Below are 20,442 nucleotides of genomic sequence, written 5' to 3' on the forward strand. Positions count from 1 at the left end.
GGCGGTGGGTTTGTCATAGATAGCTCTTATGATTTTGAGATACGTCCCATCAACACCTAATTTATTAAGAGTTTTTAGCATGAAGGGTTGTTGAATTTTGTCAAAGGCCTTTTCTGCATCTATTGAGATAATCATGTGGTTTTTGTCTTTGGTTCTGTTTATATGCTGGATTACATTTATTGATTTGCATATATTGAACCAGCCTTGCATCCCAGGGATGAAGCCCACTTGATCATGGTGGATAAGCTTTTTGATGTGCTGCTGGATTCGGTTTGCCAGTATTTTATTGAGGATTTTTGCATCAATGTTCATCAAGGATATTGGTCTAAAATTCTCTTTTTTGGTTGTGTCTCTGCCTGGCTTTGGTATCAGGATGATGCTGGCCTCATCAAATGAGTTAGGGAGGATTCCTTCCTTTTCTATTGATTGGAATAGTTTCAGAAGGAATGGTACCAGTTCCTCCTTGTACCTCTGGTAGAATTCAGCTGTGAATCCATCTGGTCCTGGACTCTTTTTGGTTGGTAAGCTATTGATTATTGCCACAATTTCAGATCCTTTTATTGGTCTATTCAGAGATTCAACTTCTTTCTGATTTAATCTTGGGAGAGTGTATGTGTCGAGGAATTTATCCATTTCTTCTAGATTTTCTAGTTTATTTGCGTAGAGGTGTTTGTAGTATTCTCTGATGGTAGTTTGTATTTCTGTGGGATCAGTGGTGATATGCCCTTTATCATTTTTTATTGCATCTATTTGATTCTTCTCTCTTTTTTTCTTTATTAGTCTTGCTAGCGGTCTATCAACTTTGTTGATCCTTTCAAAACACCAGCTCCTGGATTCATTAATTTTTGAAAGGTTTTTTTTGTCTCTATTTCCTGCAATTCTGCTCTGATTTTAGTTATTTCTTGCCTTCTGCTAGCTTTTGAATGTGTTTGCTCTTGCTTTTCTAGTTCTTTTAATTGTGATGTGAGGGTGTCAATTTTGGATCTTTCCTGCTTTCTCTTGTGGGCATTTAGTGCTATAAATTTCCCTCTACACACTGCTTTGAATGTGTCCCAGAGATTCTGGTATGTTGTGTCTTTGTTCTCAGTGGTTTCAAAGAACCTTCTTTATTTCTGCCTTCATTTTGTTATGTACCCAGTAGTCATTCAGGAGCAGGTTGTTCAGTTTCCATGTAGTTGAGTGGTTTTGAGTGAGTTTCTTAATCCTGAGTTCTAGTTTGATTGCACTGTGGTCTGAGAGATAGTTTGTTATAATTTCTGTTCTTTTACTTTTGCTGAGGAGAACTTTACTTCCAACTATGTGGTCAATTTTGGAATAGGTGTGGTGTGGTGCTGAAAAAAATGTATATTCTGTTGATTTGGGGTGGAGAGTTCTGTAGACGTCTATTAGGTCCACTTGGTGCAGAGCTGAGTTCAATTCCTGGGTATCCTTGTTGACTTTCTGTCTCGTTGATCTGTCTAATGTTGACAGTGGGGTGTTAAAGTCTCCCATTATTATTGTGTGGGAGTCTAAGTCTCTTTGTAGGTCACTCAGGACTTGCTTTATGAATCTGGGTGCTCCAGTATTGGATGCACATATATATTAAGGACAGTTAGCTCTTCTTGTTGAATTGATCCATTTACCATTATGTAATGGCCTTCTTTGTCTCTTTTGATCTTTGTTGGTTTAAAGTCTGTTTTATCAGAGACTAGGATTGCAACCCCTGCCTTTTTTTGTTTTCCATTTGCTTGGTAGATCTTCCTCCATCCTTTTATTTTGAGCCTATGTGTGTCTCTGCAGGTGAGATGGGTTTCCTGAATACAGCACACTGATGGGTCTTGACTCTTTATCCAATTTGCCAGTCTGTGTCTTTTAATTGGAGCATTTAGTCCATTTACATTTAAAGTTAATATTGTTATGTGTGAATTTGATCCAGTCATTATGATGTTAGCTGGTTATTTTGCTCGTTAGTTGATGCAGTTTCTTCCTAGTCTTGATGGTCTTTACATTTTGGCAGGATTTTGCAGCGGCTGGTACCGGTTGTTCCTTTCCATGTTTAGTGCTTCCTTCAGGAGCTCTTTTAGGGCAGGCCTGGTCGTGACAAAATCTCTCAGCATTTGCTTGTCTGTAAAGTATTTTATTTCTCCTTCACTTATGAAGCTTAGTTTGGCAGGATATGAAATTCTGGGTTGAAAATTCTTTTCTTTAAGAATGTTGAATATTGGGCCCCACTCTCTTCTGGCTTGTAGAGTTTCTGCCGAGAGATCGCTGTTAGTCTGATGGGCTTCCCTTTGTGGGTAACCCGACCTTTCTCTCTGGCTGCCCTTAACATTTTTTCCTTCATTTCAACTTTGGTGAATCTGACAATTATGTGTCTTGGAGTTGCTCTTCTCGAGGAGTATCTCTGTGGCGTTCTCTGTATTTCCTGAATCTGAATGTTGGCCTGCCTTGCTAGATTGGGGAAGTTCTCCTGGATAATATCCTGCAGAGTGTTTTCCAACTTGGTTCCATTCTCCCAGTCACGTTCAGGTACACCAATCAGACGCAGATTTGGTCTTTTCACATAGTCCCATATTTCTCAGAGGCTTTGTTCATTTCTTTTTATTCTTTTTTCTCTAAACTTCCCTTCTCACTTCATTTCATTCATTTCATCTTCCATCATTGATACTCTTTCTTCCAGTTGATCACAGCAGCTCCTGAGGCTTCTGCATTCTTCACATAGTTCTTGAGCCTTGGCTTTCAGCTCCATCAGCTCCTTTAAGCACTTCTCTGTATTGGTTATTCTAGTTATACATTCGTCTAAATTTTTTTCAAAGTTTTCAACTTCTTCACCTTTTGGTTTGAATTTCCTCCTGTAGCTCGGAGTAGTTTGATCATCTGAAGCCTTCTTCTCTCAACTCGTCAAAGTCATTCTCCATCCAGCTTTGTTCTGTTGCTGGTGAGGAACTGCGTTCTTTTGGAGGAGGAGAGGCGCTCTGCTTTTTAGAGTTTCCAGTTTTTCTGTTCTGTTTTTTCCCCATCTTTGTGGTTTTATCTACTTTTGGTCTTTGATGATGGTGATGTACAGATGGGTTTTTGGTGTGGATGTCCTTTCTGTTTGTTAGTTTTCCTCCTAACAGAGAGGACCCTTAGCTGCAGGTCTGTTGGAGTTTGCTAGAAGTCCACTCCAGACCCTGTTTGCCTGGGTATCAGCAGTGGTGTCTGCAGAACCACAGATTTTCGTGATCTGCGAATGCTGCTGTCTGATCGTTCCTCTGGAAGTTTTGTCTCAGAGGAGTACCCGGCTGTGTGAGGTGTCAGTCTGCCTCTACTGGGGGGTTCCTCCCAGTTAGGCTGCTCGGGGATCAGGGATCAGGGACCCACTTGAGGAGGCAGTCTGCCCATTCTCAGATCTCCAGCTGCATGCTGGGAGAACCACTGCTCTCCTCAAAACTGTCAGACAGGGACATTTAAGTTTGCAGAGGTTACTGCTGTCTTTTTGTTTGTCTGTGCCCTGCCCCCAGAGGTGGAGCCTACAGAGGCAGGCAGGCCTCCTTGAGCTATGGTGGGCTCCACCCAGTTCGAGCTTCCCAGCTGCTTTGTTTACCTAAGCAAGCCTGGGCAATGGCGGGCGCCCCTCCCCCAGCCTCGCTGCCACATTGCAGTTTGATCTCAGACTGCTGTGCTAGCAATCAGTGAGGCTCTGTGGGCGTAGGACCCTCTGAGCCAGGTGCAGGCTATAATCTCCTGGTGCGCTGTTTCCTAAGCCCGTCAGAAAAGCGCAGTATTCGGGTGGGAGTGGCCCGATTTTCCAGGTGCCATCTGTCACCCCTTTCCTTGACCAGGAAAGGGAACTCCCTGATCCCTTGCACTTCCCGAGTGAGGCAATGCCTTGCCCTGCTCTGGCTGGCACACGGTGCACTGCCCCTACTGTCCTGCGCCCACTGTCTGGCACTTCCTAGTGAGATGAACCTGGTACCTCAGATGGAAATGCAGAAATCACCCATCTTCTGCGTCGCTCATGCTGGGAGCTGTAGACCGGAGCTGTACCTATTTGGCCATCTTGGCTCCTCCCCCAGAAAACTCTTCATAAAATAAACCTCTGATAACTCAGCTTCACTTTACATGCTATTAGAACATCATATCAGGTTAAGTTCTTTGGACAATTCCTTTAAGATTTATAATGATTGTATCCCATACACAGTGGTGTAGTTGGATACTTAATCATTGTCACTATACCAATTGAGTAATTTAGGGACAAAGCAGATGAGACTAGAAGTGTGGTAGAGAGGGCTTAATTATGTGGTCTGGTGGACTAAGCTGATTAAATCAACTAAATCATAGTCTCTTCTCCCTTTACATCTGAATACGAAGAAACCAGGCAAAGTTCTTTCCACTCTGAGAGCTGTATCTGCTCTCGATGTGACTGTGGGAACCAGGATGAAGTGATGAATACTGTTGCTTCATCTGCCATCGTAGGAACTGCTTTATTAATTCAGGAAATTAATCGCTCCTCTGGCTTCGACTACAGATTTAATGGTATGTCTTCTAAGTCTTTATACTCAGCTCTGCTCCTTCCCTAAAACTCCAACACTTCCAGCTTTCTGTTGAATTTCTCTACCTAGGTGTCCATCTGCCATTACCTCCAACTCAATCTGTCCAAAACCGAAATCCCACTCTCTGCTTGATTTTATGTAATGGAACTAACGTTCTTTCAATCATTCAAGCTGTAAAACCTGGTGTCATCTTTGACTATTCACCATTCTGATTTCCACATTCAATGAATGACTATGTTCTATAAGCCAGGAACACATTCATCTTTTCAACAACCACTGCCAACACATCAGTTTGGGCTGTTACCTCTTACCTGGACAAAGAGTGCAGCAGGCGGTGTGAGTGACATGGACTTAAGGCTCAGTTAGGGTTCTCCTGCCTCAGGGTAAAAATAAAAATGGTGTGGAGAAATGTGCCACGACCATGTTTTATGTCTTTGCCCCACCACCCACACATTTTAGTTCAGTTTTGCTAAATCATGTCTACCACCTGAGCTATTCCCAGCACCTCCCACTTCTTCTGAGTTCAGTTTCTTCATAATCCATGTCCACACTGCTGCCAGATTCATCTTTGTGAAGAGCTCTGATGACTCAAACCTCTACTCAGGATAGACTCACCCTAGCCAGCAAGGCTATTCAGAAGACAGTCTCTACCGTGGTACAAATATGAGCCACCATGGTCATTATCACAAGGGTGGGCTTCCATGAAATCCAAGGAAAATTTAGCCCTGTTCTCCACATCTTTCCTTCCTGGTAATTCCCGCTACCATTTCCACCTTAGATACTCAGGGACATGTTGTTTCCCTATAGACAAAGGCTTTCTGATACTCTTTCTGTTTTCTGTATCACCAGCCTCTCAGCGCACTTACACATTATTTCCAGATTTTTTTCTTTTTCAAACAGCTCTGAATATGACTGTCCTACTTGAAAACAAAGGTTCCATATGACCTAATTAAGGACAGATTTCCTTTCCAATCTTTCCCTCATTCCTTCGATGTACTCTGCACTTCACCCAAAGTTCCCGCATGTCCTCCTCTCGTCCTGTCGCATGCCACCAGGATTCTCCCACTCACCACCTGTCACAGAAACATGGAACTCTGTCTTCTTAAGGGGTTCTTTTTCCTCACAACAGCACTGGGAGTTAAACTCTATGGCCCTTTTCATGTTTATTTGTCCAGTTGTTAAATCCCTGAGGGCCTCAGTTCCTGCCCATGAGTTTATTCCCAGGGAGAGAAGAAACATTAAAAAGTACTTTTACACCCAACATTTCTAAATGGTCTACTGGTCTACATGGTCTTATTGTCCTCATATGTCATTGAGGAAACAGACAAAGAAATAAGTGATTTGGTGGAATTCAAACCCAGGCATCTAATTTAATAATCAACTTTTTTTCTTTTCTTTTCTTTTCTTTCTTTCTTCCTTCTTCTTCTTTTTTTTTTGTTTTTGTTTTTTGTTGTTGTTGTTGAGACAAGGTCTTGCTCTGTCTCCCAGGTTATGTAGCACAGTGGTGTGATGTTGGCTCACTGCAGCCTCAACATTCTGGAATCAAGCGATCCTCCCTCTTCCGCCTCCCGAGTAGCTGGAACTACAGGTGCATACGACCATGCCTGGCATTTTTTGTATTTTTGGTAAAGATGGGGTTTCACCATATTGCCAAGGCTGTTCTCAAACTTCTGGACTCAAGCAATCCTCCCACCTGGGCCTCCCAAAGTGCTGGGATTACAGGCATAAGCTACTGCACCCGGCCAATAATCAATTACTTTCTTCAATTATCTTACTGTGAGTTGTTTTTTAAATTCCCTTATGCCTTTTTCTAACTTTCCTTTCTAGGTCTAAATTCTTTGAGGTCAAGGGTAATATATTAAATATCAGAGCACCTGCTACAGTGTGTTGGCACAGAGTATTTGAAAAGTGAATGCTTGTTAAATTGAATCATATAGATTTGATTTGAATTTTGGTGACTTTTGATTATATGTCTTCTAAACTAGTCTTGATCTCTTCTGATCTTCTGTTCACTGCATACTTGCCCGAAATGTTTCTTCTAAATATTCTTAACCCTGATGTGAATTAGCTGAATATCTTTCTATAGTTGGTAGTTTGCCTAGCATCTCTGACTAAACTTACTCTTCGCAATTTTTCCTCTAAGTGGGCTGCTTTTTGTTTGCTTAATTACTTTGTGCACTTTGCTGTCCATCAATATCATATTCTATGAAAGCATCGACTAAGTAAATCCTAATATGATATATGGTGTAAATAATAGCACAAAAGCTACTATCACTCATTTCAGATTCTAAGAAACTTCCAGGGCTCTGGATTAGAGCTAAGATTGTCTGTAGAATCAAGCTGTCTCAGCACAAATTTTTAATAGAAACTACACAAGAGACTAATTTGGGTTCAAATGAAATACACATTTTAGATATACATCTAGTAGAATAAGTATTTGTTAACTCATCTCCCGATTTCTAATTGGTTGACCCAGCCTCAGGTGGACTTGGATTTATGATCTCCATAAAATGCATACTAAGTGAAATCTACCTAGTTTCAAAAATATTGTCAGAGATCACGTCATTTTTAAATTCTCTTGAATTGGCCTTACTTTAAGAACGATAATTCATAATGTGAGTGAGGGGTCACTGGACTGGGAGGTTATGTCATTGACTAAATAGAGCCAGAATCTGGGTATTGGAGCCAGAATTTGGCTAAATAGAGCCAGAAAGGCCTTGTGGGAAAGATGCCTGAATTCCAGCTTTGTGTCCCATTCTGCACCAGCTTTTTTTCAAGTTTGTTTTTAAAATGTGATTGGTGTTAACAAATCATCAGCAAACACAATTACAAACAAACATTCTTCCTAAGGGCAAGGAATATTGCAGTATTGTAAGTGTAGGCCAAGTAGTCAACATTTGTGATGAGCAAACTCTGACACTTCGGTGACCAAGTAGGAGGAAAGAGACAGTGTCAGCAGTAGAAGGCCAGAGAGAGAAGCAACTTAAAAGGGAGAATCATTGCTCTATGCCTCAACATTATAATCCCAAACAGAAAGTATTTCTATGGAAATGAATGGGAAATGTGATCAATTACAGAGTGTAGAATTTAGCCTTTGATTTATTTTTCCTTTGATATATAATCATCATTGCCCACAGCAGGTATGAATTTTATTAACTTAATTTGCCATTAGTTCAAGAAATCATACATTTCCCCAAAATAAACTCATTTTAAAAACTGAAAAAACGTTTCAAGCCTTAAAGATGCAAATATGTCATAGTTTGGCTGCATTCAGCAAATTCCTAGAATCAATCAGCCGAGAACAGGGTAATTCTGTTACTGAAAAGGGAACTCAAAGCATGCAAATTGAAACCAGGATAAAGAATAAAATATAAAAGAAGGCTTACAACATCTAAGGAAACACCCTACTTGTATTTTTATATTTTAATAAGGTAAATATATAAACATAAATAACACTTCTATGTAATATAATCCTATTTCTCCTTGATATGACATACGACATCTAAACTACTCCAGAGATAAACTCACTTTATTAAGAAATGCATATTCTAAATCAAGTTAAGTCATAATAATAATAATTTACATGCAATAACATTTTCCATTTTACAAAATGCTTTACACACCTTACCTCATTTGGTGCATGCACACACACACGCCCCTAAAATGTTAGAGGCATAGATATAATTATTTTCATTTCCTAGATAAGGAAATGCAAATATCAAATTAAAGAGGCAGGAAGAGTCTCCTGGAGAACTCAGAGATGCTCTTAGCATAATGTTTCCCCACCACCCTGCGGGAAGCCATAAAGCTCAGCACTGTTAGACAGGAAAACAACTTCTGCAGACTCTCTGGCTTTGTGGGCTCAGTCAGGCCCCACAGCTCTTGCGAGGCATGGTCTTTCTCAACAAAAACTTGGGCCATCTAAATTTTGCAGGAGGCATTCAACGCTTTAACCTATCAGAGAAGCTGAAGACTTTACTAAGTTGGAGGGAGGCACGTGGAAGGAGAGCCGTGGGCTTAGGCTCCATAAAATGAAAATGGGCTGGCGACCTGAGAATGTGCTTCCTTGTTTGAGCATAGTGGCTAATAATTTGGACCCTGGAGTTAGAAAAGCATGAGTTGCAATATCTGCTCTGCTTCCTTCGCTGGTTGAACTTGAATGAATTACATACCTTCTCTGAGCCTGTTTTCACGTATGAAACAGGGCTTATTGGACAAATGGAATGGTATAAGGCATCTAAACATGTCACGATGTTGAACATCCAATGAGGCATCAGACTTCAGTGACTTCTCACATCACTTCCGCAGGTTGAATTCTAGCATTCCTTTACCACATTGACACAATGCTGGAGAAGTTCCTCCAGCCTCCCCCACATCTGCCACCATGGATAAGATCATGGGTAACACGTTGTATACCAAATCTCCCTCAATTTATAAGTGGTGTAGTCGTACAGGAGTATATATGATAGTCTTATCATTACCATCTAAAAGCCCTTTTATGCAAACAAACAGGATTGCAATTAAGGGGGGGATTAAAACAGATTGGGGTATGTGGTGCTTGTCTGAATGTAATCTAACTACTACACTATTCATGTAGTGAGGAGTCTAATTACTAGCTTCATAATTATACTACTCAAGAAAATTGTTTTAGTGATGGTTTTCTTAAACTAACTTGAGAAGATTTTTGCGCCAACATGAGCAGAACAAATGGAATTTAATTTCAAAACAGGGGCAAAGGAAGGTTACCCAGGGGAAGAAAACCTCATGAGCTGGACGGCAGATTTTGAAATTCATGCAGAACAGAGCTCAGCTAGGAAAGGAACAGGCTGGCATCACAACACGAGAGATGTAGGGAGCCATTCAACAACACTTCCAGATTTGGTTTATAAGGAAAGAACTTAACAAGGGAAGCTTCTGGTCTCCAAACCTCTGACTTAAGAGGATCTGCAATGATTCTTACTTGTGTGTTGTACATGAAACCACACTCCAGCTGTGGTCCCCAACCCACAGCATCAACATAAATCTAGAATCTCAGAATTTGCCTCAAACTTAATCAGAGTCTGAATTTTAAATAAGTTCCCAGGTGAGCATGCGCATATTACAGTTTGAGTAGAACTGGTGTAAATGACCAGCTTGTGGTTCCAAATTGAAATTTTATGTTTTTTCTGTTCTTAAATGTAATATATGCTTAATAAAGCAAAAAAGAACATATGCATAGGAGTGTAAGGGGGAAAAGTATACCTGTAATTGCACCACCCTGAGAGGACACCTGCTCCACTGTTGGGTGTCTTCTCTTCCAGGCTGTTGTTACACATATTGTTTTACATTTTAAGCTCAGGCTATAAATACAGCTTTGGGTTTTTCATATCATGTTATAAATATTTTCTATATTCCAACCAAGTTTTGTTGACATTTGTCTGCATTCTACCATATGTATTTGTTCCTTGTTAAAAGTTTACAGTACCTTATTGTTGCTTTTATAATTATAAATAATCCTCTGATGAAGGCATTTATATTTTAACTTTTTTCTATTAATTCATAAGGTTAAATTTCTAGGATATGAAAATAGTTAAATCTCTTGATAGAGATGATCTCTTCTAATTATAATATTCTTTGAAATAAGGTAAAGTTTTAAAAAAGCATTTGGACTCTTTATTTCTCAGGGTCTTTTGGGTGGATGTTAATGTGTTTAATTATTGGGGTTCCTGAGAAAGTCTCTTTCTCCAAGGATGGTCAGTGGCTTGAACTCTGAATCAGTCTGTTTTCTTTTTCTTTTTCTTTTCTTTCTTTCTTTCTTTCTTTCTTTCCTTTTTTTTTTTTTTTTTTTTTTTTTTTTTTTTTTTTTTTTTTTTTTTTTTTTTTTTTTGAGACAGAGTCTTGCTTTGTTGCCCAGGCTGGAGTGCAGTGGTGTAATCTTGGCTCACTGCAACCTCTGTCACCCGCATTCAAGCAATTCTCCTGCCTCAACCTCCTGAGTAGCTGCTGTTACAGGTGCCCACCACTATGCCTGGCTAATTTTTGTGTTTTTAGTAGAGACGGGGTTTCACGATGTTGGCCAGGCTGGTCTCAAACTCCTGACCTCAGGTGATCCACCCGTCTTGGCTTCCCAAAGTGCAGGGGTTACAGGCATGAGCCACCATGCCCGGTCAAGAATCAGTTTATTTTCTAGCACTTTTATACTAGCAGAACAGAGGATACGTACACGCTACTGTTAAGTGAAGAGCTACCACCAACTTTACTTTGTAAATAATCACTCATTTCCTCTCAGGGTGAGTCTGTTACAGCAATGGGATGCCCAGGTTAAGTTTATGGAAAGACATTGACCTTGGAGCCAGACTGCACCAGAGTAAGTTCTGTCTCTGTCCCTGAGGCTGTGTGACATTGCCTGAGCTATTACTTACCTTAGTTCTGCCATAATCATCTTATTTATAATAGTGTGTTAATAATGCCTCTTCCCCAGAATTGATGATTACATGATGTAAGAGATATTAAAGCCTCTAACATGAGGCATAAGGTCTGTCCCTAAAATGTTTCCATACATGGTAGGTGTTGTTTGTTTCTTCTTTCAATGCTGGGTGAGTAGATCCTGTATCTGCCATTCTTACATGGGGAGAAGTGGCAGATTGCTTTAGATGGCAACCAGGATTATCTCTGAAGAGTGTGTCTTTATTTTAGTTTATTTTTCATGATGGAGTCTTGTTCTGTTGCCCAGGCTGGAGTGCAGTAGTGCAATCTCAGCCCACTGTAACCTCCACCACCCAGGTTCAAGCAGTTCTCCTTCCTCAGCTTTCCGAGTAGCTGGGACTACAGGCACTCTCCACCATGCCTGGCTAACTTTTGTATTTTCAGTAGAGACTGGGTTTCACCATATTGGCCAGGCTTGTCTTGAACTCCTGACCTCAGGTGATCCACACGCCTTGGCCTCCCAAAGTGCTGGGATTACAGGCATGAACCACTGTGCCCAGCCGAAGATCATGTCTTTAAATACATGTCGAGCTTCATTTAGAGAAATTACGTTTGGTTTCATTTTTTTCAATTAATACAAAACACTTTTGTTAGCAAGAATGTAGATAACTGGGCCTTGAATTCTGCCCTCAGTTAATGGGATAAGCCTCTTTCAGCCATACCAGAATGGTCAATGTGGAACAGGCAGCAGGGACAGGACCTCTTCTGTGGACTAGTGGCCCCAGGCATGAACAATCTGCATTCTCAGGCATGGATCCTTCCTCTAAACAATGGGAATCACTGCTGTGAATTAAGTTTTCTCTAACTTACAGCTGTGTGCTCTAGATTTAGCCGCATGCTTAAATTTCAAATGTATGTCTCTTATTTACGATTCATTGAGCAGAATATTTTCATATATAAATATGTATAGCTGATAGAGAAGTTCATGACCCATTCAATGAAAAATCAAGTACATTCATAGAGTTAAATGTCAATGGTGAATTTGGGCAGTGGTATGTTAAGTAATTTATTATTGTTATTACTTATGTTTTACATTTTTCTAAAATGAGTACGCCTTACATGTTTAATTAAACAAGGAAAAGGACTTAAATTAATAAAAATAATCCCTTATAGTTAGAATTGTAAAGAGAAACTCTTTTCATTTGTTAGGTTATTCTGCCAATTGTTTATCTTTAGTCAAAGGGCAGACAATTGATTCATTTGAAAAGAAATTTCAGCTCCACTAGTATCTTTTTGCTGTGTTTACCTATGCCAAGCCCCTGTTCAAAGGTTGGTGCCCCGTAGGCTTCCCTGGTGATGTTGACATGCAGGGGAAAGGAACTTAAGTTACAAAAATGATGAAATGATATTCTTGCTAAATTATATCTCAGTTATGCACAGAGGCTGAAGGAAGCCAGCATCACCTGCCAATGACAGGTATCCTTCTGACAAATTAGCACCTGTGCAGTGACAATGAGTCTGGTCCGGGAGTTCCTGCACTTATTCTTCCCACAACTTGCAGGACACCTTAAGACAAGCAGCAGCATCCCAGCCCAGCAATGGAGCTTCTTCAGGAAAGACTGAGCCAGCTCAACAGATTCCTCCTTCAGGCATTTACAGCACATTTGTTTCATCTCATGTGGCATTCATTAGAGGTGGACAACAAAAAAACAAAATGAAGCTGACTTCTGTCAGGAGCTCAGCTGAGTGGGAGAGAGAGCTGAGCTGCCTGTGCTGGAGTTCATTGAATGTAAACCAGAATGAAAGAGGAGGTGAGCCTTGGATCACCCACTGTGATGGCATGAGCAGAGCAGGGTGCTGACCCAGGAAGGCGTCACCTCCCATCATTCTGTTCCTCCCTCCGTGGGATTGGGTCACTCACTGTCATGTCATGAGCAGGAGGCTGACCCGGGAAGGTGTCACCTCCCAACATTCTGTTGTCCATCCTGTGGGATTGGGTCACCCACTGTGATGGCACTTGCAGGAGGGTGACCTGGGAAGGCTTCACCTCCCACCGTTCTGTTCTCCCTCCTGTGGGATTGGGCCACCCACTGTGATGGCACTAGCAGGAGGGTGACCTGGGAAGGTGTCACCTCCCACCGTTCTGTTTCTCCCTCCATGGGATTGGGTCACTCGCTGTCATGGCATGAACAGGAGGCTGACCTGGGAAGGCATCACCTCCCAACTTTCTGTTCCTCCTCGCTGTGAGATTGGGTCACTCACTGCATGGCACGAGCAGGAGGCTGATCCGGGAAGGCATAGCCTCCTAACTTTCTGTTCCTCCCCGCTGTGAGATTGGGTCACTCACTGCATGGCACGAGCAGGAGGCTGATCCAGGAAGGCGTCACCTCCCACCGTTCTGTTCCTCTCCACCGTGGAATGGTGTGCTGGTGGATCTGCACAGACCTTGGGTCATCTCACTTTTGAGGGAGCCCCAGAACAAAAGGCTCTGGCAGTTTAATGGCCCCTGGGGCTGAGGAGAGGAGAAGGAGGGCAGGGGATAAGTCCCTCTGTGGGTCCGCTTTCTCCTTCTGTGAATTATGGATCATATTTTCCACTTCATGTGAAAATATCAAAGCAGTTAACACACGTGCAGTGATTTTTACAAGCGTTCGCGGGAAATCTTCCATGGGCTTTGGCCATCAGCAGTAGTCATCTTAGCAATGCTATAATAATGACGTGCATTTCTTGCCTCCATATTTCCTTTATCTCTTTCTCGTTTTGATGAATAATGACAGGTTCTTGGCTTGTTTATCTTTTTGTTTTTCCCTCTGCCATGTGTGTTCCTACTCCTGCCTACTTACAGGTTTCAGGAAGCTTCCTGGGCTCTGGAAGTTTGCTGATCTGATCACCAGATTTCATTCACTCATGTAGCAAACAGTCAAGGAGACCCAAGTATGTGCCACACTCTCAGATATGCTGGTTCCTTGGCGAAATCACGTTAACTGGTTTGCAAAAGGAGTTTGTGCTGATTTCTCTGTGTTTCTGTGTTTATATGAGCCCAAACACAATAACCTAGTTGTATTATTTCCTGGGTGAATACTTGAATTCTTTTGCTTTTCTTTTTCAAAAGAATACCAATACATTTTTAGCATATATATAGGAGATCGTAAGTCTGGCATAAGTCTTGTCTCTAACAGCCCCCCTTGGATATCTGAGAGAGTAAATGTTTTCAAAGTTATTTTATTTCTGAATGCTATGGTTTTTCTCTCTCACGTCAGTTTCCTTTTTCTTTTTGACTGAAGTCTATTTTTCCCTCAGGCGGCCATTGCCAAGGGATTACATTATGGGTTTACAGTAACCATAACAGAAAGTTTTTCTTCTGTTCACCACCCATCTGCAGAATTGCAGGAAGCCAACTCTCAACTCTGCCCCCTTTGTTCCTGGGGTTTGAGGTGGTGCCTGATGTGCACTCACAAATGCAGATTTCCAGGCCACTGTGTGGGACCCTTCTCTTCTGTCATGTCCAGTGGTGGCTCTTTAGGCCCAATGCCACTGCCAAGATGTTCCTGGAGCTCTCACGTGGGCCGTTTTGTGTTGTGAATGCGTCTGGAGTCAGGACCACCTACATAATTTTCAGGTCCTGGTACAAAATGAAAATGTAGACATCTTGTTTAGGAAAACTCTTAAGGCCATGGCCAGTTGCAGTGGCTCACACCTGTAATCCCAGAACATTTGGAGGCCGAGGTGGGTGGATCACTTGAGGCAGGAGTTCGAGACCAGCCTGCCCAACATGGTGAAACACTATCTCTACTAAAAATACAAATATTAGCCGGGTGTGATGGTGGGTGCCTGTAATCCCAGCTACTCAGGAGGCTGAGGCAGGAGAATCATTTGAACCCAGGAGGCAGAGGCTGCAGTGGTCCGAGATCACCCCTCTGCACTCCAGTCTGGGAGACAGAGCAAGATTCTATTTCAAAGAAAAAAAAAAAAAAGAAAACTACTAAGGCCAGAAGTCTTGGCTCACCCCTGTAATCTCAGTGATTTGGGAGGCCAAGGTGAAAAGAGAGTTTGAGTCTCAGCTGGAGACCAGCCTGGGTAACTTAGTGAGAACCTGTTTCTAGATAAAACTTAAAAAATTAGCTGGGCATGGTGGCAGACACCAGATACTCAAGGGGCTTAGGTGGGAGGAATTCAAGGCTGCAGTGAGGTATGACAGCATTGCACTCCAGCCTGGGCAAGAGAGTAAGACCCTGTCTGCGGGGGGGAAAAACCTATTAAGAATTTCAAGATGGCAACAGCAGAGTGTTAAACCAAGTGTGAGTCCCTCCTGCACACACTGCATTCATCGTACACCGTGAAGCTGGCCCTCTCCCTGTCCCAGTTCATTCTCATTCTTGAGTTTGGGCTACATTGCTCTCTGGACCATGGGCGGGATGTCCTCGGTCTCCTCCCTTGACGTGGATGGTCACTGCACTGAAGTACAAAGGAAGGCATTCTACCCCTATTTGCACTGAATGCTAATGCCAGGCCACAAAGCCGTGTTGCCTCGTGCCTTTGATTCCTTACAGTTTCACATCTTGGAACCGGCCACCACCTGAGCTTGTTTCCTCTCATTTTAGGTTATGTCTCTGGGAGGAAAGCAAAGGACGTTATGGAAGAAACAGGACACAGAAATATTATTATTCATCAAATAGAGTCTGTTTGGAAAATCTGGTATTCCCAGCACAATGTCAGGAGATATCCTAATCACAAAACAAAGTAGAAGACACAATCCGTGCTGACCTGGATCTCATAAGAATCTTTAGGTGAAGTAGACACCCAGTAAAGCAAACACAAGGAGGAATGCAATCCATTGTTAGTTTTTGTAGTATGGAATATAAGATTAAGAAAATTTCTAGAAGATAAAAAATTATGTGCTGGGGGGGGCAGTGGGGAGAGTCATGAAGCTATTACAAAAGAGAGAGGGTTTGAAGTGAGTCTGAAAGAATGTATAAACACTAGGTTGCCAGTAGAGAAATTATAGCTAACAATAACTTATTGCGTATTCCAGAGTAGCTAGGAGAGAAGATTTGTAATGATCCCAACACACACACAAAATATACATGTTTGAGGTGATTGATAACTCAATTACCCTGAGTGGAACATGACACATTGTATATAGGTATCAAAAGATCACCTGTACCCCAAAAATATGTATAACTATTATATGTCATTAAAATAAATAAATAATTTTTGAGAGAAAACAAAATTAGATTGTAAAAATGAAAGGAAGGTGTGATTATAATCAACCTGGAAAGTCAGTTTTAGCTCCCAAGGAGCATGGGGCTGTGGATCTAGTTGTAAGGGCTGTTGCTGCTGAATAGACAGAGGTAGAGATGGAGTTGAGGTGGGGCAGGAGAGGTCCTGGCTGCCTGAGAAGACTGTGCTGGGAGCCACATCACAGCAGGTCTTGAGTTCCAGGCGCTTAACCCCTTCTTTTGTAGGAACCCTTGTAGGTGGTAACAGCGACATGGTGATGGAAGGGTAAATTTGGTCATGGTTTGGAGGAAAGAAAAACCTGAATCAGGAAAGCCAATACAACGGTATTATAGGTGACCCGCGAGAACATTGTTAGGGTGAGAATGACAAGTTTAGGCATTAAAAATGCCAATGAGACGGGGTGCGGTGGCTCACTCCTGTAATCCCAGCACTTTGGGAGGCCAAGGTGGGCAGATCACGAGGTCAGGAGTTCAAGACCAGCCTGGCCAACATAGTGAAACCCCATCTCTACTAAAAATACAAGTATTAGTTGGGGCGGGTGTCTGTAATCCCAGTTATTCAGGAGGCTGAGGCAGGAGAATCGCTTGAACCCAAGAGGCAGAGGTTGCAGTGAGCCAAGATTGCACCATTGCACTCCAGCCTGGGCAACAAGAGCAAAACTCTGTCTCAGGAAAAAAAAAAAATTGCCATTGAGGCCTGGTGTGGTGGTTCACATCTGTAATCCCAACACTTTAGGAGGCTGAGGTGAGAGGATGGCCAGGAGTTCAAGACCAGCCTTCATTTTTATTTAACTAGTGTATTCTCATTTTACTAGTATATTAATTGTTTTTCAGGACAGACTATATTTCTTAATGTACCTGTTGTACTTTCTGTACAACTGTGTTATTCTACTCAACGTCAGAAGATGTGAATTTTTTTCACAGGGAAAAATAGCCATGGGAAGTAATATCTTTATATCTGTAGAACTTGTCTCCTGCCTCTGCTATTAGCTTATTCTATTGTTTGTTCATGTGTCTCTCTATACCATTAGATAATGAACTCCTTGGAGACATCAAGAATGAGATTTTATTCACCTCTGTGTTCTCAGAAGACTGCACAGTGCCTGCCCATAAGAGCGCTCAAATATTGTTGGAATAAGTTAACAAAAGAATAAGCACTACCAAGAACTGTCTTTAAGAAAACACACACCATATTTGTGTGACTGCAAAAGCAATCAGAAAAATTGGTAGGATAATTTCAAATTCCCCTCTTGAAGCAAAATCACACTTATAAGAAATGAAATCAATGTTTGGTTCACCTGTTTTAAACAATTAAAAGGTACCAAACACAAATATAAAATAAAAATTAAATTTGTAAAGCCAAAGTATGTGTGTAAAGATAAATATCCACATGTACATGTCAACAATTTAAAATTTTTTATGTGTTTGGAAGGCTTTTTAAAAATCAGACCTAGAAAGAGGGCCAACTTAAAGGTATTTTTGAGAGTTTACTTTTGGTGTGACTCAGACAGTGTAGTATAGATGCAAGAGCTTGAGTTGGAGTGAGGAAATCAGTTCTTACTATTGTTGACTTGTTCTCTGACCTTATATATGTGCAGCATAATTCAATCATATTTTCAAATATTTATTCAAAACATTGCCCAAAGCATGTGTTCGATGATTCATTTAATCTTCTAGCATCTCAGTTTTCTAATCTTTGCAAAGGGAATAATAATACCTTTCTAACTCATCCCAAAAAACCATTTTGGAATGATGAAGGGGTGGGTTGCCCCTCCACACCTGTGGGTGTTTCTCATTAGGTGGAATGACAGACTTGGAAAAGAAAAAAGACACAGAGACAAAGTATAGAGAAAGAAATAAGGGGGCCCAGGGGACCAGCATTCAGCATACGGAGGATCCCACCAGCCTCTGAGTTCCCTTAGTATTTATTGATCATTCTTGGGTGTTTCTCAGAGAGGGGGATGTGGCAGGGTCATAGGATAATAATGGAGAGAAGGTCAGCAGATAAACACGTGAACAAAGGTCTCTGCATCATAGACAAGGTAAAGAATTAAGTGCTGTGCTTTAGATATGCATACACATAAACATCTCAATGCCTTACAGAGCAGTATTGTTGCCCACATGTCCCACCTCCAGCCCTAAGGCGGTTTTCCCCTATCTCAGTAGATGGAACATACAATCGGGTTTTATACCGAGACATTCCATTGCCCAGGGATGGGCAGGAGACAGATGCCTTCCTCTTGTCTCAACTGCAAAGAGGCATGCCTTCCTCTTATACTAATCCTCCTCAGCACAGACCCTTTATGGGTGTTGGGCTGGGGGACGGTCAGGTCTTTCCCTTCCCACGAGGCCATATTTCAGACTATCACATGGGGAGAAACCTTGGACAATACCTGGCTTTCCTAGGCAGAGGTCCCTGTGGCCTTCCGCAGTGTTTGTGTCCCTGGGTAGTTGAGATTAGGGCGTGGTGATGACTCTAAAGGAGCATGCTGCCTTCAAGCATCTGTTTAACAAAGCACATCCTGCACAGCCCTTAATCCATTTAACCCTGAGTTGACACAGCATGTGTTTCAGAGAGCACGGGGTTGGGGTAAGGTTACAGATTAACAGCATCTCAAAGCAGAAGAATTTTTCTTAATACAGAACAAAATGGAGTCTCCTGTGTCTACTTCTTTCTATGCAGACACAGTAACAATCTGATCTGTCTTTCTTTTCCCCACATTTCCCCCTTTTCTTTTCGACAAAACAGCCATCGTCATCATGGCCCGTTCTCAATGGTCACTGTCTCTTCAGAGCTGTTGGGTACACCTGCAGACTAACAACAGACAAAACAGGCACACAAGGATTAATATGAAATTTATAATCATAGTACTTCCGATGGTCTTAACCCAAGTGACAGGGTTAAGATTTGCGAGGCCATCAGCAACTCCTGCGATTGCCTCAGTTCCTGGCACCAAATTTAAATGGGCTTTTGATGTTTCAAAAATTTGTTCTTTTAATTTGGAAATGTCTAAAGTGAGATTATCTTCTCTTCCCTGTAGATGGCGTCTAACCATGTCCCAGTGATGCTCAGACTCATTATAAACTTGGGGTGTAATACAAAAATCTGACGTATTCCAGTCACACTGTAACTGGAAACGATGTTCTAAGCTCATGAGCCTGTCTCCCATCCAAATGACAGCTTGTCTAAGAACATTAATTTGATTTGCCATTTTTTGATCAATACCAGATTGCGAATTCCACAATCTCGTAGAATTCTTTTGCCAATCATTAACAAAGTTTACTGACTGAACAGAAGAGTGCAACGCAACTCCTGCTATAGCAGCCATAGCTGTGACTGCAATTAATCCCATAATCACTGTAATTAAAGTAAAAATGAATCTTTTGGATCTATTTAAAATGCCTTTTAATACTTCAGTCAAAACATGGACGGATGGCGAGGCCTCCCACGGTTGGTCCATGGACACAGGGATCCGCATGCCTTCTCTTGCTCTCACCAGCAGAATACGGTGCTGCCAAATAAAAGTTGAATCAATGCAAGTAAACAATCTGCAATTTTCACAGGTTATAGTTTGGGAGTCTGGTTTAATAACTATATTTCCTACAACTAGCATATAAGGGGTCTTTACGCAACTTTGTAAAGGAACCGTTAGACTGGAATTTAGGTCGATAGTATAAAATGGCTTACAATCCCTTGTTTCTAAAGTTTGATTTCCAGACCAAATTCTAATGTGGTATGAGGCTAAGTAAGCCTCCATAATTCTCAATGTTCAGGACCAGAAACAGGACTTCTTATTTTTGGTCTTGGGGTAGAGATTCCTTTTTCTCCCCATTCCCAAGGATAGAAAGACTATAATTTTTTATGCTTATGTTTGTCTAAACTTTCTGTTAAGTCGCTATCAACAGCTGGACTCACTTGTGCACTGGGACACGACTGAGTTTGCCCTGTGCAATCATGGTAGAATTGACCCAAGGTGCCCAATCTATAATAGTTCCAAATTCATTGTTTTGTAATATCACCGCACTATTGGCCACACATTCTTCCCAAACTAAAACTTCTGTATTTTTTGATCCTTTGGGAATTTCCTTGGGGCAAGGTTTCCCTTTAGGTCTAAACTTTAATGATCTTTGATAAGAAAAGTCTTGTAAATAATTTACCCGTGGCCTGAGTGACATCCCACTTACCATGTAAGAAATGATTCTACTGATGGGACTGACAGTAGGTCCTTCTACCAACCAATTTTGGACTGCAGGCATTAAGCATCCTGGTGCTCTCCCTAGGC

General features: G+C 41.6%; 2 long non-coding RNA genes across 5 annotated transcripts in view; one reads left to right on the forward strand and one right to left on the reverse strand.

Moving 5' to 3' along the window:
• Nucleotides 1-20,442, forward strand: part of LINC00707 (long intergenic non-protein coding RNA 707) — a 63,309-nt gene that overhangs the window by 26,669 nt on the left and 16,198 nt on the right. The gene's annotated exons all lie outside the window — the stretch shown is intronic.
• LOC105376387 (uncharacterized) overlaps nucleotides 18,004-20,442 on the reverse strand; it is a 294,200-nt gene continuing 291,761 nt past the window's right edge. For 3 of the 4 annotated variants that reach the window (NR_188183.1, NR_188186.1, NR_188185.1), the window contains one exon: nucleotides 18,004-19,671. This is a non-coding gene — a long non-coding RNA (uncharacterized LOC105376387). Of the gene's footprint in view, nucleotides 19,672-20,344; nucleotides 20,437-20,442 lie in introns of all 4 variants that reach the window. The other variant, NR_188184.1, reaches the window with a different exon arrangement.

The sequence above is a fragment of the Homo sapiens genome, chromosome 10 (assembly GCF_000001405.40).
Source record: "Homo sapiens chromosome 10, GRCh38.p14 Primary Assembly".
NCBI classification, from domain to species: Eukaryota; Metazoa; Chordata; class Mammalia; order Primates; family Hominidae; genus Homo; species Homo sapiens.